Source organism: Homo sapiens, chromosome 1 (genome assembly GCF_000001405.40).
Source record: "Homo sapiens chromosome 1, GRCh38.p14 Primary Assembly".
Lineage (NCBI taxonomy): Eukaryota > Metazoa > Chordata > Mammalia > Primates > Hominidae > Homo > Homo sapiens.
This window is the reverse complement of record NC_000001.11, coordinates 211,944,021-211,969,862: the sequence shown is the minus strand read 5'-3', so window position 1 is coordinate 211,969,862 and position 25,842 is coordinate 211,944,021. Positions and strand designations below refer to the sequence as shown.

The window sequence follows — 25,842 nt, the reverse complement described above, 5'->3', positions numbered from 1 at the left end:
CCTGTAGTCCCAGCTACTCAGGAGGCTGAGGCAGGAGAATTGCTTGAACCCGGAAGACGGAGCTTGCAGTGAGCCGAGATCGTGCCATTGCACTCCAGCTTGGGCAACAAGAGCGAAACTGTCTCAAAAAAAAAAAAAAATTAGCCAGGCATGGTGGTACGCACCCTTAGTCCCGGCTACTTGGGAAACTCAGGTGGGGGGATAATTTGAGCCCAGGAAGTTGAGGCTGCAGTGAGACATGATTGTACCACTGCACTCCGGCCTGGGTGATAGAATGATACCCTGTCTCAAAAAAAAAAAAAAAAAAAAAAGAAAAGAAAAAGAAAAAGAAATTTGGGCTAGCAGTGGAAGAGGGTAACTTTGAGGCAATGTCCATTTTTTTTTAAAAACAGTGACTGTCTAGAAACATATTCCTCCTGCCCTTATCTTTCTTTTTCTTTCTGCCCCCGACTTTACAAGGTTCCAGTGATGGGAATTTCAGATTAGGAAGGTAGCAAAGTAATAGGGGATTTTGGGGGATGGTAATGTCCTTGAAGCATCCCTTATGCGATTATCTTCTTTTTTCTTTGTTTTTTTTTTTGAGACAGTCTCGTTCTATCGCCCAGGCTGGAGTGCAGTGGTGCAATCTCGGCTCACAGCAGACTCCGCCTCCCGGGTTCACGCCATTCTCCTGCCTCAGCCTCCCGAGTAGCTGGGACTACAGGCACCCGCCACAACGCCCAGCTAATTTTTTTGTATTTTTAATAGAGACGGGGTTTCACCATGTTAGCCAGGGTGGTCTTGATCTCCTGACCTTGTGATCCACCCGCCTCGACCTCCCGAAGTGCTGGGATTACAGGCGTGAGCCACCGCACCTGGCCGTGATTATCTTCTTGATGATGTTCTTGACAATTCACATATTATGGGGTCTTTGTGAATGTAGGCAGTAAGGAACCTTTGAATAGTGGTTGTACATACAGTTTTTCAGAGCTGGTGTTTAATAACAATATTTTTCATTCTAATATTACATTATTCTTTTTATCATTTAGGTCTTTATCCGTCAGTGTTTTTAGAGAACTACTGCACTTGACCACAAACTGATAAATACTTGGTACTGCCCCATCTCACTGTTCTGTTTACTTTGTCTTAAATATCTCTTTTTTTTTTTTTTCCCAGGCAGCTAGTACACCACTGAATCCTTTAAGCTTTCAGTGTGAATTTGTAAAACTCAGGATTGACCTTTTACAAGCCTTCTCTCAACTTATCTGTACTTGTAATAGCCTGAAGACAAGCCCACCACCTGCAATTGCCACAACAATTGCCATGACCTTAGGAAATGACCTCCAGAGGTGTGGTCGCATCTCCAATCAGGCATGTCTTAACTTTCAGTGCATTTTTTATTTACACTTTAGAGGTTTTCGAAGTTATAAGATGAAAAGTTGTAAAATATAAAATCAGTGGTTTGACTCAGACATTATCATAAATGTTTATTCACTCAACTGTCTGGCTAAAAAATAGGCTGATGTGTTATTAGAAAGATAAAGTGATTCATGTTATCTCAATGGGTGCTACATATTTATATAAAGAGAAAGGACAGATTTTTTTAAAAACTTGAGAATGTTTATAACTAAATTATTTTAGTGGAACTTGAAGACGCTAAAATACAAATGTTTTTGTTTCTATATGTCATATATAATAATCTTGTGAACATGTATAGTTTCATTTGCCATTTTTGTTTTTATTTAACAAAGTTTATGAAAATGAATGGAATGACAGTGAAAAGATGGCAGTATTTTTTTTGAATTGTTATTGTTTGAAGGTGCTTTTTTTTGTTTTGGTTTTTGTGTTGTTTATACAATAATGATAGCATGTTTGTTTGTCATAATTGATTTTTTTTTATAGATGAAACAGTCCATGGAAGAATTTCGAAGCCTTGCTTCTCGATATGGAGATCTTTACCAGGCATCTTTTGATGCTGACTCAGCAACTTTGAGGAATGTTGAACTGTATCCCAAGCTTGCCCTAGTACTTCTTGTTCTTTTTGGAAGTATTCTTTTAAATACGGACTACCTCAGATATGCTTACCTACAAAATACATGTTAAATAACCCTATAAATTTATTATATAGTTTCCCCTTTAAAATATATAAGCAGAATAATCTTACTTTTTAACTTTACCCAGGATTTTAACAAAAAATGGTGACTCGAAGGTGTCTTTTTTATATCCAGAAAGAGCATCCAAAGCAACATCCAAAGCCAGTGTTGCTTACCTGTGCTCACTTGAGCTACAACAGACAACACAACACATTTTCCCACCAAAGAACATGTATTTCACCTCACCTTTCTTTGTGGCCAACAGTCCTAGTTTTTATCACCTTTATTAATGATCTCTTCAGTAGCATTAGTTGTCACTTTTTTTTTTTTTTTTTTTTTGAGATGGAGTCTCACTCTGTTGCCCAGGCTGGAGTGCAGTGGCATGATCTTGGCTCACTGCAACCTCTGCCTCCTGGGTTCAAGCGATTCTCCTGCCCCAGCCTCCCTAGTAGCTGGGATTACAGGTGTGTGCCACCACAACCTGGCTAATTTTTATATTTTTAGTAGAGACGGGGTTTCACCATGTTGGCCAGGCTGGTCTCAAACTCCTGGCCTCAAGTGATCTACCTAAAAGTGCTGGGATTATACACGTGAGCCACCGTGCCCAGCCTGGTCGTCACTTTTAAACCCTTCCTAAGTTCTCCATATTTTCTTATTAGCAACTTCAAATCACTTTTGAAAGGAAGGAATAGAAATTCTTTTTTTAAGTTGTAGGACTTTCCAATCAGTAGTTCTTGGCATTTAGTTTACTGATTGAAACCCAGTGAATGCTATGGGCCCTCTGCCCTACAAAATGCATATATACAGAGACACCCAAAATGTGCATGTAAGTTCAGGGAGTTGCCAGACCTCTTGAGCACTAGATTAGGAACCTCTGGGATAAAGGCTCCTTAGACCACTGTGTTTTGTTTTTGTTTCTATTTTTTTTTTAACTTTTATCAGTGAAAGCTTTATTTGCTTGTTTGTCTCAAACTCTTATGAAAAACCCCTATATCTAAGACAGATAAAAACAGACTTGCTGTAATTGAATCACGGGGCCTATCACTTGATTTCCCCTTCCCACAGTAGTAGCCTCCGAAGTACCCTTCTTGGAACAGAGTCTGAGGATCACTATTATAGACAATGTATATCCCTTAAAAAGAAAAGGTAGAGCCCCAGACCATTCGAGTTGATAACATTATGATTACCTTCACTAGGCAATCATTAAATCTTGACCAATTTAGTATTCAAGTAATAGAAACCTATAGCGGGTTTCTTCTCTATTTTCGTATGTAACCTTAACATCAATCCAGACAGCAGCAGAGCTGTTTACTGATATCTCATGCAATAGAAGCCCTGATTTTGGATCCAGAATCAGCAAGGTAATTCTAATATTAATAATAGTTGGCGTTACAGAACACTTTCTATACATTGTCTTACCTAATCATCAGAAGACTATTTTGGAGCTAGTACTATGGAAGTAAAAACAAAGTGGAAGAATTCTTCAGCATTTTTTGTGGGTCACATAACTAGTGACAAAACATAGATTTACCTCCTGCCTCCTGTTTTCAAAAAGTTAACATGGAAAGATAACTGGGAAGACATTCTTTGAATATGAGCAATTTCTTCTTGTATATTATAATTATACTACGAAAAATTGAGTTAATGATACAATTAAACTTGAACTTGAGATTTTTTTCCTTTGGCTTCTTAAACCAAAATATCCCTGGTTTTGCTCTTTTAAATTTTTCCCCTCCCCCAATAACTAATTAATTATTCAAAATAGTTGTTTTCATTAAAGAATGATTCCTTTTTCTTTTCCTATTATAGTATTCTCTTTTGGAATATACATTTTCTTTCTTTTTTAACTTTTAAGTTCAGTGTTACATGTGCAGGTTTGTTATATAGGTAAACTCGTGTCACCGGGGTTTGTTGTACAAATGATTTCATTGACCAGATTTTAGGCTTAGTACCCAATAGTTATTTTTCTGGTCCTCTTTTTCCTCCCACCTTCCACCCTCAGGTAGGCCCCAGTGTGTGGTGTTCCCCTCTATGTTTCCATATGTTATCATTTATCTCCCACTTCTAAGTGAGAACGTGTGGTATTTGGTTTTCTGTTCCTGCGTTAGTTTGCTGAGGATAATAGCTTCCAGCTCCATCCATCTTCCTGCCAAGGACATGATCTTCTTTTTTATGGCTGCGTAGTATTTCATGATGCATATGTACCACATTTTCTTTATCTGGTCTGCCATCGATGGGCATTTAGGTTAATTCCATGTGTTTGCTATTGTGAGTAGTGCTGCAGTGAACATATGTGTGCCTGTGTCTTTATGATAGAATGATTTCTATTCCTTTGGGTATATACACAGTTATGGGATTTCTTGGCCGAATGGTAATTCTGTTTTTAGCTTTTTGAGGAATCACCACAGTGCTTTCCACGATGGTTGAACTAATTTACACTCCCGCCAACAGTGTATAAGGGTTCCCTTTTCTCTGCAACCTCACCAACTTCTGTTATTTTTTGATGATGTAATAATAGCCATTCTGACTGGTGTGAGATGGTATCTCATTGTGGTTTTGATTTGCATTTCTCTAATGATCAGCGATGTTGAGTTTTTTTTTTTTTATGTGCTTGTTGGCCATGTGTATGTCTTTGAAAAGTGTTCATGTCCTTTGCCCACTTTTTAATGGGCTTGTTTTTTTCTTGTAAATAATTCAAGTTCCTTATAGATGCTTGATATTAGAACTTTGTCAGATGCATAGTTAGAAAAATTTTCTCCCATTCTGTAGGTTGTTTGTTTAATCTGTGGATAGTTTCTTTTGTTGTGCAGAAGCTCTTTAGTTTTATTAGATCCCATTTGTCAATTTTTGCTTTTGTTGCAATTGCTTTTGGCATCTTTGTCATGAAATCCTTGCCCATGCCTAGTCCTGAAGGTTGTCTTCCAGGGTTCTATCATTTTGGGTTTTACATTTAAGTCTTTAATCCATCTTGAGTTGATTTTTGTCTGTGGTGTAAGGAAGGGGTCCAGTTTCCATCTTCTGCATATGACATCGGTTATCCCAGCACCATCTATTGAACAGGAAATCCTTTCCCTATTGCTTGTTTTTGTCAGCTTTGTCAAAGATCAGATGGTTGTAGGAGTGTGTGGCCTTGTTTCTGGGCTCTCTATTCTATTCCATTGGTCTGTGTGTCTTTTTGTATACCAGTACCATGCTGTTTAGGTTACTGTAGACTTGTAGTATAGTTTGAAGTTGGGTAGCCTGATGCCTCCAGCTTTGCTCTTTTTGCTTAGGATTGCCTTGGCTGTTTGGGCTCTTTTTGGTTCCATATGAATTTTAAAATAGTTTCTTCTAATTCTGCGAAGAATGTCGTTGGCAGTTTGATAGGAATAGCATTGAATCTATACGTTGCTTTGGGCAGTATGGCCATTTTAACAATATTGATTTCTCCTATTCATGAGCATGGAATGTTTTTCCGTTTGTTTGTGTTATCTTTGATTTCGTTGAGCAGTGTTTTGCTTTCATCTCCCCAGTTAGCTGTATTCCTAGGTATTTTATTCTTTTTGTGACAGTCATGAATGGGAATGCATTCCTGATTTGGCTTTCAGCTCGACTGTTGTTGGTATATAGGAATACTAGTGATTTTTTATATTGATTTTGTATCCTGGATCTTTGCCGAAGTTGTTTATCAGCTTAAGGAGCTTGTGGGCCAAGACTATTGGCTTTCCTAGATATAGTATCATGTCTGCACACAGGGATAGTTGGACTTCCTCTCTTCTTATTTGGATGCCCTTTATTTCATTCTCTCACCTGATTGCTCTGGCCAGGACTTCCAATACTATGTTGAATAGGAGTGGTGAGAGAGAGCATCCTTTTGTTATGCCGGTTTTCAGGGGGAATGCTTCCAGCTTTTGCCCATTTGGTATGATGTTGGCTGTGGTTTTGACATAGGTGACTCTTATTATTTTGAGGTATGTTTCTTCAATTCCTAGTTTATTCAGAGTTTTTTTTTTAATATAATGGGATATGGAATTTTATCAAAAAGCCTTTTCTGCATTGATTGAGATGATCATGTGGTTTTTGGCTTTAGTTCCATTTATGTGATGAATCACATTTATTGATTTGGATGTGTTGAACCAACCTTGCATCCCAGAGATAAAGCCTACTTGATGGTGGTGGATAAGCTTTTTGATTTGTTGCTGGGTTCAGTTTGCCAGTATTTTTTGAGGATTTTTGCATCAATGTTCATCAGGGATATTGGCCTGAGGTTTTTGTTGTTGTGTCTCCACCAGGTTTTGGTATCAGGGTGATGCTGGCCTCGTAGATGAGTTAGGGAGGAGTCCCTCCTCCTTAATTTTTTTGGAAAAGCTTCAGTAGGACTGGTACCAGCTCTTCTATGTATACCTGGTAGAGTTTGACTGTGAATCCATCTTGTCCTGGGCTTTTTTTTTGGTTGGTAGGCTGTTTATTACTGATTCAATTTCAGAGCTCATTATTTGTCTCATCAGGGATTCAGTTTCTTCCTGGTTCAGTCTTGGGAGAGAGTGTATGTTCAGGAATTTATCCATTCCTTCTAGATTTTCTAGTTTGTGTCCATAGAGGTGTTCATATTTCTGTGGTGTCAGTGATAATATCTTCTTTGTTGTTTCTAATTGTGTTTACTTGGATCTTCTCTCTTTATTAGTCTAGCCAGCCGTCTATCAAATAGATACTAATTTTTTTTCAAAACACCAACTCCTGGATTTGTTGATCTTTTGAATTTTTTTTGTGTGTCAGTCTCCAATTCAGCTCTGATTTTGATTATTTCTTGTCTTCTAGCTTTGGGGTTGATTTGCTCTTCATTCTCTAGTTCTTTTAGTTGTGATGTTACTTTGTAAATTGAGGTCTTTCTAACTTTTTGATGTAGGTGTTTAGTGCTGTACATTTCCTTCTTAACACTAGCTGTGTTCCAGAGATTCTGGTATGTTGTTTCTTTGTTTTCATTAGTTTCAAAGAACTTCTTGATTTTTGCCTTAATTTCATTTCTTGCCAAAAAATCATTCAGGAGCACGTTGTTTAATTTCCATGTAATTGTATGGTTTTGAGCGATTTTCTTGGTCTTGATTTCTAATTTTATTGTGCTGTGGTCCAAGAAAGTGGTTATTATTTTCATTCTTTTTCATTTGCTGAAGATTGTTTTGTGTCCAACTGTGTGGCTGATTTTAGAGTATGTGCCATGAGATGATGATGAGAACAATGTATATTCTGTTGTTTTTGGGTGGAGAGTTCTGTAGATGTCTATCAGGTCCATTTGATCCAGTGCTGAGATTAAGTCCTGAATATCTTTGTAATTTTCTGCCTCAGTGATCTAATACTGTCATGGAGTGTTGAATTCTCTCACCATTATTGTGTGGGAGTCTAAGTCTCTTTGAAGGTCTCTAAGCACTTGCTTTATGAATCTGGGTGCTCCTGTGTTGGGTGCATATGTATTTAGGATAGTTAGGTCTTCTTGTTGAATTGAACCTTTTACCATTATGTAATACCCTTGTCTTTTTTTTTTTTTTTTTTTTTTAATCTTTGTTGGTTTAAAGTCTGTTTTGTCTGATTTAGGATTGCAACTGCTGCTTTTTTCTATTTTTCATTTGCTTGTTAGGTTTTTCTCTATCTCTTTATTTTGAGCCTATGGATGTAATTGCATGTGAGATGAGACTCTTGGCATACCATTGAGTTTTGGTTCTTTATCCACCTTGCCAATCTGTGCCTTGTAATTGGGGCATTTAGCCAATTTACATTAAAGGTTAGTATTGATGTATGGATTTGATCCTGTCATCATGATAGCAGCTGGTTATCATGCAGGCTTGTTTGTGTGGTTGCTTTATAGTGTCTCACTGGTCTGTGTACTTAAGTATGTTTTTGTAGTGACTGGTCTTTCCTTTCTATATTTAGTGCTTCCTTCAGGAGCTCTAATAAGGCAGGTCTGGTGATAACAAATTCCCTCAGCATTTGCTTGTCTGAAAAAGATAGTATTTTTCTGTCACTCATGAAGCTTAGTTTGGCCGGATATGAATTTCTTGGTTGGAATTTCTTTTCTTTAAGAATGTTGAGGCCGGGCAAGGTGGCTCATACCTGTAATCCTAGCACTTTGGGAGGCCGAGGTGGGAGGGTCACTTGAGGTCAAGAGTTTGAGACCAGCCTGGCCAACATGGTAAAACCCCGTCTCTACTAAAAATACAAAATTAGCCGGGCATGGTGGCACGTGCCTGTAATCCCAGTTACTCAGGAGGCTGAGGCAGGAGAATCTCTTGAACCCGGGAGGCAGAGGTTGCAGTGAGCCAAGATCATGCCACTGCACTCCAGCCTGGGCAACAGACCAAGACTCCATCTCAGGAAAAAAAAAAAAAAGAATTGAATATTGGCCCACAGTCTCTTCTGGCTTGTAGGGTTTCTGCTCAAAGGGGTCTGCTGTTAAGTCTGATGGACTTCCCTTTGTAGGTGGCCTGACCTTTCTAGCTGCCTTTTTTTTTCTTTTTTCATTGCGACCTTGGAGAATCATGATTATATGTCTCGAGGATGACCTTGTGAAGTATCTTACTGGGGTTCTCTGCAGTTCCTGAATTTGAATGTTGGCCTCTTTTTCTAGGTTGGGGAAGTTCTCGTGGATGATACCCTGAAATATGTCTTCCAAGTTGCTTCCATTCTCCCTATCTCTTTCAGGACATCAGTGAGTTGTAGATTCGGTTTCTTTACATAATCCCATATTTCTCGGAGGTTTTGTTCATTCCTTTTCATTCTTTTTTCTCTATTTTTTTTTCTTTTTTCTGAGACAGAGTCTCACTGTTGCCTAGGCTGGAGTGCAGTGGCGCGATCTCAGTTCACTGCCACCTCTGCCTCTCAGGTTCAAGTGATTCTCCTGCCTCAGCCTTCTGAGTAGCTGGAATTACAGGCATGCAGCACCATACTTGGCTAATTTTATTTTATTTTTAGTAAAGACGGGATTTCAACATGTTGGCCAGGCTTGTCTCAAACTCCTGACTTCAAGTGATCGACCCATCTTAGCCTCCCAAAGTGTTTTTTCTCTATTCTTGTCTTACTCTCTTATTCAGAAAGCCAGTCTTCAAGCTCTGTGATTCTTTCCACAGCTTGGTCTGCTTTGCAATTAATTTTAAGGATTGCATTATGAAATTATTGCAGTTTGTTTTTCTACTCTATCAAGTTGGTTACATTCTTTTTTATACTGGTTATTCTTGTCTTTTGGCTCCTGTATAATTTTATTGTGCTTCTTAGCTTCCTTGGATTGGGTTTCAATGTATTCCTCCTTCTTGATGATCTTCATTCCCATCCATACTCTGATTTCTGTTTCTGTAATTCCAGCCATTTCAGCCCAGTTCAGAACGCTTGCTGGAGAGTTAGTGCAGTCATTCGGAAGAAAAAAGGCATTCTGGCTTTTTGAGTTGTCAAAGTTCTTGCACTGGTTCTTTCTCGTCTTTGTGGGCTGATGGTCCTTCGATCTTTGAAGTTGCTGTCCTTTGCATGTTTTTTTTTTTAATCCTATTTGATGACCTTGAGAGTTTGATTGTGGTATAAGGTGGGTTTAATCAACTGGCTTCATTTCCAGAAGATTTCAGGGAGCCAAGGCTCAGCTCATAACTCCTGGACTACCTGCTCTGGGGGACTGATATGAGCCTCAACTTTGTTCTCTGGCTCCTTGAGGCTAGGAACTGACTGCGCTGGGTAGGGGGCCAAGGTGCTCCAGGGCCACTGGTTACTACACTCCAATGGGTGGTGCCAGCCAAGGCGTTTCATTAGGATGTTGGCAGCAGGATCCATCCTCAGTTGCACATACCAGCAGCAGCAACAGCAGCATAACGGGATGCACACTTGTCCACCGCGGCAGGATACTAGCAGGTCTGGGATGCCGGCCTTTGTGTGGGCCTTCACAGCAGCAGCAGAGGCAGCGCAGGTGGCCGGTGGGGTGCAGGGGAACCCTGTTGGTAACTGCACGCCATGGCACTAGTGGTAGTATAAGCATAGGGGCGTGGCGCTGGCAGACACAGAACTGTGTGTGCCCTCTTATGTAGGTGGAGGTAGCCACTTAGGGCAGGGGAAGGTCCATTGTTGTTCACGCCTGGTTTCACTCCCAGGGCAATGTTGACACAGGAGCTCCAAATGCAATGGCGGTAATGCGGGGGTAATGGGGGCAGAATGCACCAGCAGCAGTGGCAGGGCAAGGTGAACGTGCACTTGTGGGGCTGGGGAGGCAAGATCTGCCCATGCACACGCAGGCAAAGCAATGTCGAGGGTGGCCATGGGCCCAGGGAAAGCTGCCAGTACGGGGAGGGAGCAGGTGAGCCGGCCCATGTCCACATGCTGGGCCGCTGTGCTGGAGCTCACTACCAGTTAGGCGCAGTCCACAAGCACAGGAGCTATGATGCAGGCCCCCCAGGACACCCAAGGCTGCACTGCAAGCAGGCACAGCCAGGTTGGGGCCCCAGGAGAGGCCAGATGGACTGGCCCCATCTGATCGTCAAGACTGCTCTGTAGGCTTGAGGTCTGACAGTTCCCTTAGGGATAAAGTCTCCTATGGGAGCAAGTCAGCAAGTTAAGCCTAGAGGGATGGCTGCCCCTGGCCGTATTCCACTACAGATGCTCACACACCAAACCCTTTGGGCTCTGCATTGGCTAGAATACGGCCCCTAACACTTCTCTAAGCAGCCCTCTGTGCCAACTCAAGTGTCCATAGTGGTCGAGGAATCTCCTGCCAGGATTCCAGAGGCCCGTGGCAGTAGCTGGTTGTTTTTTTGCCAGTTCAAGTCACTGTTCCCCCGGTGCGATATCCCCATGCAGGGGTCCCTCCCAGCTTCCTCCCCTTCAGCCCAGCTTCTGTGTCTTCCCTCTGTCCACCCTTAATCTCTTCCCTCTAAAGATCTGTTAGGAGAGGACCAGTCATCCTGGTCCCTTGGTGGTAGCTGTTCCACCTGGCTGTGTCTAGTCAGCCATCTTGCCCATTTACACTATCTATAATTTCAATCTAGTAAGGCCTGAGATTCCAATATCAGTTTCCTCAAAGAGAATATAATCAACAAAGCAGTTTAAATTTCTCTACCCAGATTGGAACAGAGGAAGAAAAAAGGCTGAAAAAATGAAGAGTCAAAGCTGGCCTGTGGGGTAATGTCATTTAGACTAATATGCATGTAACTGGAATCCCAGAAAGAGGGAAAGGGGGAACAGAAAAATATTTAAATGGCTAAAAGTCATTTATATTTAATTAAACATATAAACCCACAGAGCCAAGAAGCTTAATGAACCTCTAGCAGGGAAAACATAAAATTAGAGCAAGGCACACGTAGCAATCAAATTGCTGAAAACCAATGATAAAGAGAAAAATTTTTTAAAGAGAAAGAAGATATTATTTAGAAGGGAAGAAAATATTATTTAGAAGGGAAGAAAGATCAGAATATCTACTGATTTCTCATCAGAAATATTACAAGCCAAAAGACAAGTGGAGCAACATCTTTAAAGTCCTGGAAAAAAAAATGTTAACCTATAATTCCATATTCAGGAAAAATACCATACAATAAATCAAGGTTAAATTAAGGCATTTTCAGAAAAAATCTGATAAATTTTGCCATCAGCAGATCTGTACTACAAGAAATGTTAAAGGAACTTTTTTAGGCTGAAGGAAAATTATTTCAGATATAAACTCAGACCTACAAAACTGAGTAAGAAGGATTACAAGTGGTAAATGTTTTTGTTTTTTTTTTTAATTTTTAAAAAGATATTTGACCGTTTATAGCAAAAATGATGTTTAGGAGTTTTTAACATATAGAAGTAAAATATATGAAATAAGACAACGGGGGGATATAGTAGTAAGAATCTTACATTTAGTAGTATATCATTTGACAGTAACTTCTGATAAACTGAGGGTGAATATTTTAAACTCTAGAGCAGCCACCAAGAAATAAAACAAGCCAGTAGAGCCATAAAGTGGAATACTAAAATATAAAACTCCAAACTTTCTAGAAGACTACATTGGAAAACCTCTTCATGACCTTGAAATTGGTCATGATTTCTTAGGACACAAACAGCAGTTACCATAAGAGAAAAATTTGCTGAATTGGATTTAAACTTTTAAATCTGCTTTTGTTAAGATGTCATTTAAAAAATGAAAAAGGTTACGGACAGCAAGAAAATATTCTTAAAACATATTCTATCAAAAGACTTCTATTCAGACATTGCTTTATTAAGAACGCCATACAACTCGACAATCCGATTTTTCTTTCTTTTTTTGAGACGGATCCTCTCTCTGTCGCCCAGGCTGGAGTACAGTGGTGTGATCTCGGCTCACTGCAACCTCCACCTCCCAGGTTCAAGCGATTCTCCTGCCTCAGCCTCCCGAGTAGCTGGGATTACAGACATGCGTCACCATGCCCAGCAAATTTTTGTATTTTTAGTAGAGTCAGGGTTTCACCATATTGGTCAGGCTGGTCTCAAACTCCCGACCTCAGGTGATCCACCCGCCTCAGCCTGCCAAAGTGCTGGGATTATAGGCATGAGACACCATGCCCGGCTGACAATCCAATTTTATAAAACTGGTAAGAGTTTTGGACACTTCAAAAAAGAAGGTATGTTAATATCCAGTAGGCACATGAAAAGATGCTTGACATCAGTAATCACTAGAGAAATTAAAATCACAATGAGATACTACTCCCACTAGAACAGATAAGATTAAAAAGACCTTCAGTGTCCAATGTTGGTGCAGATGTGGAGGAGCTTGAATTCATACTAGTATGTTGTTGGGAATACACAATGATACAGCCACTTGGAAAACTGTTTGACAATGTCATATAAAGTTAAACATAAATTTATCATATGACCACCAATTCTATTCCTACTGTTCTACCGAAGAGAAATGAAAACATGTTTCCACACAGATGTATACACAAATGTTCATAGCATCTTTATTCATAGTAACAAATCTGGAAAAACCCAAGTGTCTCTCAGTAGGCTAATGGATAAACAAATTGTAGTATATCCACAAATGAAATACTAAGTAATAAAGATGAATGACCTGTTGATCATTCAGCAGGTCATACAGAAACCATGCGTGCCCTCCGAAACATGCTGTGAAAGAAGCCAAAAGAGAAAATCAGTGAAACCAGAAGCTGGTTCTTTGAAAAGATTAATAAAATTGATAAAACTAGTCTGAGCAAGAAAAAAAATAAATCACTAATAGTAGAAATAAAATAGTGGCATCATTACAAATCTTACAGATATTAAAAGCATAATAAGGGAAGAATAACTTTGTGCAAAGAAATTTGCTTAGGTGAACAGGACAAATTTAAATATTCTTCATTAGCATAGACAAAAATTTTTTTAAAAAGTTCAGTCCAACAATATATATAAATATAATACATTAAGACTAAATAGGGTTTATCCCAGGAATACAAGGTTGGGTTAACATTAGAAAATCAATTTAAGTACTTCGCCATATTGCAAAATAAGAAAAACTAAAGTGTCAAGACTTAACTACTGGTTTCAAGACTTAATATAAAACTACAGTAACTAAGACAATGTGATGATGGTTTAAGGGTAGGATTAAGAGTCCAGAAATACTCACGTAGTCACTTGATTTTTGTCAAAGATGCCAAAATAATTGTATGGGAAAAGAATAGTCTTTTCAACAGATTGTGCTAGAACAACTACATATATAAAAGGGAAAAAATAATCTTCCTTACCCCACACCATACACAAAAGAGTATGTATTGTATGGCTCTATTTATATGAACTATCAGGAAACAAATCTTATGTACAGAGATAAAAAGCAAATCTGTGGTTGCCTACCACCAGAAATGGAATTGTTTTGTTAGCAAGTCTTTTATGTAGTTTAGCTGTCCTTAAAGTCCATCATACAAATGAGCTTCAGTTCTTGTCTTAATAGAACTTAAGATATAGTACAGAACAGGAAACAGAACTTTGGAGCCCAGCAAATGTGAACATGAATCCCTTACCAGTCACTCCTAGCTCTGTGAATGTATGTCATCTCAGTGAGCCACGTATGCATAAACTGTAGGTAGATAATGATGCCTGTTTCCCAGAGTAGTTGTGAAGATTAAATGAACTAATATATGTAAAATACCTGGCTGAAATGCCTTGTACATAGTAGGCATTAAAATGATAGTAGGGAATAATCAGAGTAGTCTTATGCCCAGCATATTTAAATTACCTACATTGTATTTTCAAAAGTTTAGTTAGAAATGACTTTGATGGGATGTATCTCAAAATAATAAGAGCTATCGATGACAAACCCATGGCCAGTATCATACTGAATGGGCAAAAACTGGAAGCACTCCCTTTGAAAACTGGCACAAGACAGGGATGCCCTCTCTCACCACTCCTATTCAACATAGTGTTGGAAGTTCTGGCCAGGGCAGTCAGGCAGGAGAAGGAAATAAAGGGTATTCAATGAGGAAAAGAGGAAGTCAGATTGTCCCTGTTTGCAGATGACATGATTGTATATCTAGAAAACCCCATTGTCTCAGCCCAAAATCTCCTTAGGCTGATAAGCAACTTCAGCAAAGTCTCAGGATACAAAATCAATGTACAAAAATCACAAGCATTCTTATACACCAATAACAGACAAACAGAGAGCCAAATCATGAGTGAACTCCCATTCACAATTGCTTCAAAGAGAATAAAATACCTAGGAATCCAACTTACAAGGGACAAGAAGGACCTCTTCAAGGAGAACTACAAACCATTGCTCAATGAAATAAAAGAGGATACAAATGGAAGAACATTCCATGCTCATGGGTAGGAAGAATCAGTATCGTGAAAATGGCCATACTACCCAAGGTAATTTATAGATTCAATGCCATCCCCATCAAGCTACCAATGACTTTCTTCACAGAATTGGAAAAAACTACTTTAAAGTTCATATGGAACCAAAAAAGAGCCCACATCACCAAGTCAATCCTAAACCAAAAGAACAAAGCCGGAGGCATCACACTACCTGACTTCAAACTATACTACAAGGCTACAGTAACCAAAACAGCATGGTACTGGTACCAAAACAGAGATGTAGATCAATGGAACAGAACAGAGCCCTCAGAAATAATGCCGCATATCTACAACCATCTGATCTTTGACAAACCTGACAAAAACAAGCAATGGGGAAAGGATTCCCTATTTAATAAATGGTGCTGGGAAAACTGGTTAGCCATATGTAGAAAGCTGAAACTGGATCCCTTCCTTACACCTTATACAAAAATTAATTCAAGATGGATTAAAGACTTACATGTTTGACCTAAAACCATAAAAACCCTAGAAGAAAACCTAGGCAATACCATTCAGGACATAGGCATGGGCAAGGACTTCATGTCTAAAACACCAAAAGCAATGGCAACAAAAGCCAAAATTCACAAATGGGGTCTAATTAAACTAAAGAGCTTCTGCACAGCAAAACAAACTACCATCAGAGTGAACAGGCAACCTACAGAATGGGAGAAAATTTTCGCAACCTACTCATCTGACAAAGGGCTAATATCCAGAATCTACAATGAACTCCAACAAATTTACAAGAAAAAAACAACCCCATCAAAAAGTGAGCGAAGGACATGAACAGACACTTCTCAAAAGAAGACATTTATGCAGCCAAAAAACACATGAAAAAATGCTCACCATCACTAGCCATCAGAGAAATGCAAGTCAAAACCACAATGAGATACCATCTCACACCAGTTAGAATGGCAATCATTAAAAAGTCAGGAAACAACAGGTGCTGGAGAGGATGTGGAGAAATAGGAACACTTTCACACTGTTGGTGGGACTGTAAACTAGTTCAACCATTGTGGAAGTCAGTGTGGCAATTCCTCAGGGATCTAGAACTAGAAATATCATTTGACCCAGCCATCCCATTACTGGGTATATACCTAAGGATTATAAATCATGCTGCTATAAAGACACATGCACATGTATGTTTATTGCGGCACTATTCACAATAGCAAAGACTTGGAACCAACCCAAATGTCCAACAACGATAGACTGGATTAAGAAAATGTGGCACATATACACCATGGAATACTATGCAGCCATAAAAAATGATGAGTTCATGTCCTTTGTAGGGACATGGATGAAACTGGAAATCATCATTCTCAGCAAACTATCGCAAGGACAAAAAACCAAACACCGCATGTTCTCACTCATAGGTGGGAGTTGAACAATGAGAACACATGGACACAGGAAGGAGAACATCACACTCTAGGGACTGTTGTGGGGTGGGGGGAGGGGGGAGGGATAGCATTAGGAGATATACCTAATGCTAAATGACGAGTTAATGGGTGCAGCACACCAACATGGCACATGTATACATATGTAACAAACCTGCACATTGTGCACATGTACCCTAAAACTTAAAGTATAATGATAATAAAATTAAAAAATAATAAGTTAAAAAAATAAAATAGAAATGCCTTTTTTCACTTAGAAATGTTTTCAGAAATTTGCAGGGGTTCAAAGCAGTAGAGGAAAAAGAAAGAAATCTAGGTTAAACTTATCCCAGCACGCTGTGTATACAGACTGTCTTCTGAACGTGCCTATGCGTTTCATCTCCATGCTTTAGATTCATGCCATTTCTCTAGCTATGAATGTCCTGTACTTTCCATCTCTCCAAAGTTTACCCATCTTACTTACCTACTGATATGTTCAAGACTCTCTTCTTCTGTGACATTCCTCCATGTTCTGACCTGTTATTTATATATCTAACCTGTTATTACATATCTTTATGGATGGTTTGGAGCTTATCTGCTGGCTTTATTGATAGTCCCCTTTTCAGATGTGTTTATGTCTCTTTCACCTGTGGCAGTAACACTGTCATATTTCCTGGCAACCAAAGAGATTAAGAATTACATAACTTGAAGTCAGACCTGGGTTTGAATTCTGGCTTGCCATTTACTAGCTGTATGACTGTAGGCAAACTACTTACCCTCTCCTAGCCTCAATTTTCTCACCTGTAAATGGAAATAACTTCATTATTTTAAAAATTAAATGAAAATATGTTGAAAGTACCTGATACATGTAGGCATTAAATAGCCATGCTATTTTGATGGATTAATGAATATTGACCTTTACTTCAGTTTCCAGGAATATGGATCTACTGGAACAGCCCATGCTGATAGTGAATATGAAAGAAGAATGATGTCTGTATATAATCATGTCTTGGAGGAGGTAGAATCACTCAATCGGAAATATACCCCTGTTTCTTATATGGCAAGTGGCATTTGTTTTATTGAGCTTTTATTGTATGGATGTGGGTTTTTCATACATTTATGGCACTTACTGTGTGAGTTCAACAAATTAACCTTTCTGTGCCTGTTTCCTTATCCATAAAACAGGGTTAATACCTACCTCACAGCATTGTAGTGGGGAGTAAATGAGATAATCCATGAAAGTACTTAGCACATCTCTAGCTGCTACGTAGTTATATTAATATATAAAAATCTGCTCTACCAGAATGCAAATAAAATTTTTTCTTTTTTTAACAATTTAACTGAAGTTGCAATAATTCTCAACGCAGGCTACACATTAGAATCACTTTGAGGGCTTTTTAAAGAATACATTAATATACAGGCCTCACCCCTGACCAGCTAACTCTGAGTTTCTGGAATTGTGGCCCAGGCATTAGTAGTTTTACACACACTCAGGTGATTCTGTCATGCTGCCATGGTTGGGAGAACCACTGGACAATTGAAACAGAAAGAACAGGGCTTGTTGGCTGACTGGCAATGAGTCATTTCCTACCAGGTGATGACATTAATGCCTTTCAGTACACTCTTCAGCCTTTACCCTGCTGAATCTCTGCTGCCTTTGGCACTTCCTAAGAAGTTCTCAGAGCACTCACCCTTTTTTTTATCTTCTCCCCTGATTTCCCAGTCACAGGACAGGCTAACATACTCTCACCCAAATTTTCTCCTCCCTGTCTGACCATTCCCCAGTATCTCTGCTCAGGTTTTATAACAAAATGCCGTAGGCTTGGTACCTTAAACAACAGACATTTATTTCTCACAGTTTTGGAGGCAGGAAAGTCCAGTATCAAGCTGCCAGCAGATTCGGTTCCTGGTGAGGACTTTCTTCCTGGCCCTGGTGACAGCCACCTTCTTATTACATCTTCACATGGTAGGGAGAGATCGAGAGCTCTGGTCACTCTTCCTCTTCTTTAAGAACACTCATCCTGGCCGGGTGCGGTGGCTCACGCCTGTAATCTCAGCACTTTGGGAGGGTGAGGTGGGCAGATCACGAGGCCAGGAGTTTGAGACCAGCCTGACTAACATGGTGAAACCCTGTGTCTACTGAAAATGCAAAAATTAGCTGGGCATGGTGGCGCATGCCTGTAATCCCAGCTACTCAGGCGGCTGAGGCAGGAGAATCGCTTGAACCGGGTGGCGGAGGTTGCAGTGAGCTGAGATAGCGCCACTGCACTCCAGCCCGGGCAACAGAGCGAGGACTCTGTCTCAAAAAAAAACCAACCAAACAAACAAACAAAAAAAACACTCATCCCATCATGGGGGCCCACCTCCAAATGCCATTACCTTGGGGGTTGCAGCTTCCACATACGAATTTGGGGGAACACAAACATTCAGTTCCCAATTCCCAGCCTTTGAACTTTACCCCTTGGAGAGTTTCTCTTCTGCTTCTGCTCTTCTCATTCTGTACTTTCATGCTTTATCAAGTGTTTTAGAATAAATAGGATGTCATTAAAGAGTTAGGTTAGATCTAAAGATGGGCAATTCCTTTGACATATTGCTTTCCATGTAAAATTGTCAATAGTATTTACTGAATTGAATTGACAGCTGTTTGACAGTGACATTGTTTGCTAAGGGAGAGTGTAAAGACAGTCTTTGAAAGAAATACACACATCTGTGTGAGACAGTGGTTATTTTCATATTCTTCTAAGCTCCATCCTAAAAAATGAAATAGATGCTAAACAAACTTCATTTTGATGGAATTGAATATAACGGAATGGGAATTTTCTGCCCAGCAGAAGACACAGTACAGAGAAAAGGGCCCTAGGCTCATTCAGAACTAGGTTCAAATTCTGGCATTGCTGCTCAGCAGCTGTGTGACTTTAGTCACATTGCTTAACATCCTTTTATATGAAGTAGAAAACATACCTGCCTCATAGGATTACTGTGAGGTTTAAATGAAATAATGCTAATTGCCTAGCACAGTGCTGTCATATAGGGAGTGGTTAATAAAAGTTATTTCCCGGTCGGGCGCAGTGGCTCATGCCTGTAATCCCAGCACTTTGGGAGGCCAAGGTGGGCGGATCACCTGAGGTCAGGAGTTCTAGACTAGCATGCCCAACATGGTGAAACCCCATCTGTACTAAAACTACCAAAATTAGCCAGGCATGATGTCAAGCACCTGTAATCCCAGCTACTTGGGAGGCTGAGGCAGGAGAATTACTTGAACCCGGGAGGCGGAGGTTGCAGTGAGCCGAGATCACGCCATTGCACTCCAGCCTGGGTGACAAGAGTGAAACTTCATCTCAAATAAATAAGTAAGTAAGTAAGTTATTTCCCTTTTTCTGTATTTCCAAGTTGTACTTTATAGATTTGTTACTGTCTGAGCCTCCAGATTCAGTTCAACAAGTATTTATGGGATCCTAGGGATAGAAAAATGACAAAGACACAGGATCTTCCCTCAAGTTGTCCATAGTCTAAGAAAGAAAGATTTTATAAACAAACACAATACAGTATATGTGCATTAATAGAATTCTGCACAAGGTAGAGATGTAGTACAAAAAAGAGAGTAGTTCACATCAAAAGATAGGGAAAATGGATTGGTGGTGCAGTTGAGAGGGAAGATGTATTTGTATATGAGTTTTCCAGACAGATAAGAAGGGGTTGGGAATCTCAGGTAGAGAACATATTCAAAAGCAGAGGCATGAAATAGGGTGATGTCTTCTAGGAACAGTTTGTTATTACTTCAATGTAACATACAGGCTAGGGATTAGAGAGATGAAATCAGAGAGGTAGCCAGTGGCCAGGTGACAAAAGGCTTTGAACACAGTATAAGGGAGCTTGGACTTTGTCCTTAGGCACAGGGGGGCTTCTTAGAAATTGTAAATGGGTAGGAGAGAGAAGTGCTTAATATAGATTGTATATTATCATATAGAAGCAAAACAGGAAATGGCTGGCAGGGTGTGGAATTAGAGGAAAGAAGAATGACTACAAGGCTTTTTCAGTAATCCAAACTAAGGAACAAATTACTAAAATGGCAGTAGGAATGAGAAAAATAGATATATATGAGAGATATTTAGTGAAAATATTTTCAAGGCTGAGTTTTTTAACTAGACATGAGATGATGGAGGCATGCCTTCCAGGTTTCCAGCTTGAATGATCAGTTACACAACTGATTGATCCTTTACTGAGAGAATATAGAGAGGTGATAGAAGATGAAGGTTTTACTTTCAAACATGTTGCTGTCTTTAGGCAGTTGGATAGTAAATACGTTGCAGTTGGAAGAAAGATGGGCTGGGATGCATATAAGGTCATCTGCACATAGAAGTTCTTAAAGTCACGGGAGTGGGGAGAATTGCCTATGAAAAACATGGATTGAGAAGAGAAGACAACAAGGAGAGCATCAGCATTTAAGGAACACACAAAAGAAGAGGCTCTTTAAAAAGAAGATGGCAAAAGGAAGAATCAGAAATAAGGGTATGGACTATTAGGTGGAATTTCATGGAAGGAAGAGCATTATCAGGTGCCACAGAAATGTCAGAAAATACAAAGACTGAAAAGTATCCATTGGATTGACAATTAAGAGAGCATTGTCCAGGCACAGTGCCTTATGCCCATAATCCCAGCACTTTGGGAGGCCAAGGCGGGTGGATCACGAGGTCAGGAGTTTGAGATCAGCCTGACCAACATGGTGAAACCCTGTCTCTACTAAAAATACAAAGTTAGCCAGGCGTGGTGGCGCATGCCTGTAATCCCAGCTACTCAGGAGGCTGATGCTGGAGAATTGCTTGAACCTGGGAGGCCGAGGGTGCAGTGAGCCGAGATTGTGCCATTGCACTCCAGCTTGGGCAACAGAGAGAGACTCCGTCTCAAAAAACAAAACAAAACAAAACAAAAAGCGTTAACGTCTTTCTGCTGGTTTACTGATCATGATACGTAATTTACATCTCCAGACATCTTAATAGTGATCTGCTAATACACCTATGGAGGTCAATACCCAAGGGGCTGTTGACCTCAGAGGCACTCCACACTTTTCCAAGAGGGTATTGCAAAATCTGCACCATTCTTTTAAAAGGCAAAATGGTGACTTTCTGCCTGAAAACAGCCTGAAGTCCCTTGTGGTCCTCTGAGTCCACGCTTCAAAGATGTTTCTCTCCTTAGACACTAGTGTGGCATCAGAGGTCCACCAAAGGTGGATGTCTCTGCAAATACTTTCCAAATTACTTGTTGCAGGAAGCTGATTAATGCTATTTTAACAGTTAAATCTGAAAAAATAGAACCAGTGTCTTTAAATCTGTGTTGTGATTATCTCAGGTAATAGACTTGGCATTTGTACTATGAGTCTGTTGGGCACAAAATGTTCAATTGCCTGAACCCAATAAGGAATGGATTTTTCTGGCTTTTAGCCTTAACACCCAACTTTAAAAAAAAAAATGTTTACAGCATGAGCAACTAGGTGACACTCTGCTTGAAAGCAGGAGCCTAGAGGGACAGACAGCATACCACATGGTGCATGCAGCAGTTTTCAACCTGTGGTGTTGGGTTTCAATCAGGCTGGTGGGAAAAATATTAGAGATAGTTATAGAAATAGACACAAATCTTCTTGGAAGGCTGAGAAGTTTGCCTAACTTCAGTAATAGATCTGGCTGAAGGCGGCCTGATCTCTTTACCTTTAAACAAATTAAAATAGTAATAAAGAAAGGCAGAGTAGTTTACCTGGCTAGCTTGTTTACTCATATAAAGACTAACCTTTGATGTACCGTGAGTGCTTAAGTGCCTTTTACTCAGAAGTCCACAATGTCAATTTCCCTCTAATGGTGTTGACTCAAGCTTTTGTTAATTAATCTTACTGAATAAATGCGAGTCTGACTAGCTGATCAGGGCCTAGTTGCAACTGTTTACAGGACTCAGCAGGAGCCTGTAAGCGGCTGGGACCCTCAGCTGGACTGGCAGAGCAGAATATCTGTGTGTCAGCATACTTTATTTATCCGTTGCTGAATCGGGTCTGCAAGAACAGACCTCCCGCAGCTAGTGCCCCCGTGAAAGGAGCGCTGCCTCACTGTGGTGACTTACGAGGCCACTGAGACGGGAGTAGACTGAGGAAGGGATAGTAGACCAAGCAGGAATGGTTCTGGTTCACCTGAAGTTAAAAGTGTTCTTATGATACTTTCAGTTTTCTTCTATTAGACTGGGTAATCTTTAAAATATCTTTGAACGCTTAAATTCTGATTTTATGACCACTTTCATTAAGGCTCAAAATATTCTCTGTGGTGTTTCTGTACCTCTGCAGTCATGCTGGGATTTTCAAAACTCAGTTAAATGTGTGAGGCAGATTTGAGAAATAAGATATTTTATTAGAGTTTCAGGATTCCCCGACTATATAGTCCTCTTTCATCTGAATTCGACCAAGTTTCCACCACTGCTTACTCTGAGGACCAATGGCCATAGAGACAAGCCACCTAATGAAAGAATGAGCCAGCTCAAAGCCAAAGTCCTGCAAAATGCTCGGGCTTCTTTACCATACTGTTTATCATACTTTGCCATGTGATAGTTACTCTATATTTTAGTATCTAATATAATTGTTTAATAATATACTGATAGTTCTGAGCGCTGTAGAAATGTGGAATTTGCCTATTGCTTGGCCTCGAGGACTGTGGATTTTCTCATTTCTGTCACTTATATTTTATTGAATATACTTCACAATAAAGTAAAAATCTGTAATGAATGATTTAGTATGTATGCACAGTTCCTGGATGTGATGCCTAGTTCTTGATTGGTATGTACCTTTGTAATAATCTATATGGGCATTTGTAGTTTTATACTGAATGTACCACTTGTTGATGAAATTTGAAAATTTATTTTTATTTGATTTAGTTTCTTTTTTCCCCCAGCACACAGCATGCCTCTGCAATGCCATCATTGCTTTGCTGAAAGTTCCCCTTTCTTTCCAGAGATATTTTTTCCAGAAACTACAGTCTACCAGCATCAAGGTAATACAGGAAGAATACTAAGGTTAATATAGGTTTTAAAACCAGGTGTCTTCTGAAGATTATGTAGGACATAGCTACACTTCAGTGTGTTACCTTTGGTTTATTGGTTTTTTTGTTTTGTTTTGTTTTTTGAGACAGAGTCTCGCCCTGTCGCCTGGGCTGGAGTACAGTGGTGTGATTTTGGCTCACCGCAACCTCCGGGTTCAAGCGATTCTCCTGCCTCAGCCTCCCAAGGAACTGGGATTACAGGCATCCACCACCTCACGCAGCTGATTTTTTTATTTTTGGTAAAGATGGGGTTTCACCATGTTGGCTAGGCTGGTCAGGAACTCCTGACCTCAAGTGATCCACCCACCTCTGCCTCCCAAAGTGCTGGGATTACAGGCATGAGCCACTGTGCCTGGCTTACCTTTGGTTTTGATAAAACCTAGTTGTAAGCCATTTCTCTCCTTTATCAAGTGGTTTGGTGAAAGAAATGAATTTGGGAGTTAAACTCTCTCCCTTTTTAATTGTCAGTGCCAAATTCTATGAGACAGGCATTTGGGTAACTGGAGCTCTGTTGTTTGTCTCTCACCTCCAGGAATAAATTAGTGATTTATCACAGTAGCCTGCAAGGATCTTGAGCTGAGTCTATTCAGACCCAACTTATAGACCCAACTTAGAATGAATCAGATCCAGTAAACTGTCACCAGTTCTTCTTCCAAAGTACTTCTGCCTTTCAGTAACATGTTTTGAGGGGCTAACCAGTGAGTAGAATTAGTATTTTGAAATATTTAAGCCACTCACAATTCAAAAGCTATTTTTGATTCAGAAAATGAAATTGTTGGAAAAGGGAGAAAATTGTCACTTCTAAGAGATCTCCTGGATTATCCCTGTTAGTTAATGTCTTCAGTAAACTTTTACATCCATGCAAATGTTTTGATTACAAATAACAGAGCATTCCATTTCAAAATGACTGGAATAATGAGGAAGATTTGACGATCTAGATAAGAAGTCCTAAAGTAGGATGTCTCCAGGGTTGATCAGTAGTTCAACAACATTATCAAAAAGACTCAAATTTCTTCCATCTTTTCATTTAGCAAGACTTGGGCTTTCTTTAATTGATGTGTTTGGGATTTTTAATACATTTTTGAAGAAAAACTAATGAGAGGTGAAAAATGTCATTTGATTCATTTGTAGATATTGACTTTTTTTATAGCACAGTGACTTCGTTGTGTAGATAATCCTGGAACTTTAAGTTCATTTACATTTGAATTTAGTTTATTTAAAATTACGTAAGACCAAAGAGACAGCTCTTAGGTAATGAAAATTTATATAATGCCTTTCCCTACTAGAAGTGGTTCATTGTCAAAGAAATGCCTCACCACAAAAATTGGGAGAATAGTGCCTTTGCTTTTTTCTAATTCTCTATTATCCTCAAATAGAACTGAGGTTTGGGATGAAAACCACAGTGATGTTTAGAAGGAGGCACTTTAAAGGTACATCTGTCTCGTTGTCCTGGCACAGTCAGGTCCTGTGGGGGTGGGGGAGTGCACAATCGAATTTGTTAACCTGTAACCAGTGATTAGCACAGACATGTTTGTCGGAAGGAAGCTTGCTCTTGGTTGTTGGCATTTATTTGAGTGTTGGCATTCCAGCTTGCTCTGTCACCATCGCCCCGGAATCCTGCAGAGCCCATTGCTGTCCAGAATAACCAGCAGCTGGCGCTAAAGGTAGAGGGAGTGGTTCAGCACGGATCTAAACCAGGACTCTTCCGCAAAATTCAGTCTGTCTGTCTGAATGTTTCTTCCACACTGCAGAGTAAATCTGGACAAGACTACAAGGTAATTTAGAAAAGAGGCAGAATTGTGATACAGGTTTTATATGAGCTCATTGATGGAAGTTTTCCAGTGTTTTTCATGGTTAAATAGATTGCAGTTATACCTCCAAAGGGATCAGATGGACATAAATTAAAAGCCCACATTGGGGCTGTAAGGGGTTGATAAACACTTCTTTTTCTCTCCCTGAACCAGTTGATAGAGACAAAGCATCCAGGCAAAGATCAAAATATGAGTTTTATTACTGTTGGAGCTGTGGGAAAACCTAACTCCAATGCCTGGCAGCAAGGCCTTTCTAACCGTAGACCCCTGAATTGGATTTTTTCACCCAGCCTCAGTCAGTACGTATGGGAGCCTGCCCCTATAAAATTTATGGCAGGGCACAGAGGACTCAGGTGCCCAAAGCAGAAGAGAAAGAGCAAGTGCTTACCTTCCCATGTCTGGTTCCTGCCCAGAAAGTCACCCATCAGCAAGACTCACCTCCTCCCTGCTAGGTCAGTAATATTAATCTAACGAAAGGTCTCTCTTACATCAGGAGGTCCCTTCAAACGTCAGAAGTTGGAAAATAAGTGTCTCCCTAACCCACCCAATCCCTCCCCACAAAAAATACACATCTATTTAGTTTTCTCCATTTTAAGTAAATTTTATCATTAAAAAAAGTATATAGCATTTCTATAAAATGATCAGATAAAGTAAAATCTTTTTTTAAGAGTGTAACCCTAGGGATTTGCTGCCTTGGGAACTCAGGATATAGGTAAGTAATAACCTG

General features: G+C 39.8%; 1 protein-coding gene across 6 annotated transcripts in view, besides 3 other annotated features; it reads left to right on the top strand.

The window, feature by feature from the left end:
• Positions 1-25,842, top strand: part of INTS7 (integrator complex subunit 7) — a 95,155-nt gene that overhangs the window by 65,695 nt on the left and 3,618 nt on the right. For 4 of the 6 annotated variants that reach the window (NR_037667.2, NM_001199809.2, XM_047417179.1 and 1 more), the window contains 6 exons: positions 1,156-1,350; positions 1,882-1,985; positions 3,365-3,433; positions 17,162-17,294; positions 23,158-23,256; positions 24,894-25,079. Coding sequence is in view for 5 of the 6 variants with exons in the window: in NM_001199809.2 (NP_001186738.1) it covers positions 1,156-1,350; positions 1,882-1,985; positions 3,365-3,433; positions 17,162-17,294; positions 23,158-23,256; positions 24,894-25,079 (786 nt within the window). In the remaining variant the exon portion in view is untranslated. The remainder of the gene's footprint in view (positions 1-1,155; positions 1,351-1,881; positions 1,986-3,364; positions 3,434-17,161; positions 17,295-23,157; positions 23,257-24,893; positions 25,080-25,842) is intronic. The other 2 variants (NM_001199811.2, NM_001199812.2) reach the window with 2 other exon arrangements.
• Positions 828-1,328: an enhancer, noted in NCBI's record as "H3K4me1 hESC enhancer chr1:212141877-212142377 (GRCh37/hg19 assembly coordinates)". NCBI's record gives its function as "activates a minimal SCP1, AML or CMV promoter by ChIP-STARR-seq in primed H9 embryonic stem cells {active_cell/tissue: H9 hESC(primed)}" and the evidence as "EXISTENCE:reporter gene assay evidence [ECO:0000049][PMID:30033119]".
• Positions 1,329-1,829: an enhancer, noted in NCBI's record as "H3K4me1 hESC enhancer chr1:212141376-212141876 (GRCh37/hg19 assembly coordinates)". NCBI's record gives its function as "activates a minimal SCP1, AML or CMV promoter by ChIP-STARR-seq in primed H9 embryonic stem cells {active_cell/tissue: H9 hESC(primed)}" and the evidence as "EXISTENCE:reporter gene assay evidence [ECO:0000049][PMID:30033119]".
• Positions 21,692-22,304: an enhancer, noted in NCBI's record as "NANOG hESC enhancer chr1:212120901-212121513 (GRCh37/hg19 assembly coordinates)". NCBI's record gives its function as "activates a minimal SCP1, AML or CMV promoter by ChIP-STARR-seq in naive H9 embryonic stem cells {active_cell/tissue: H9 hESC(naive)}" and the evidence as "EXISTENCE:reporter gene assay evidence [ECO:0000049][PMID:30033119]".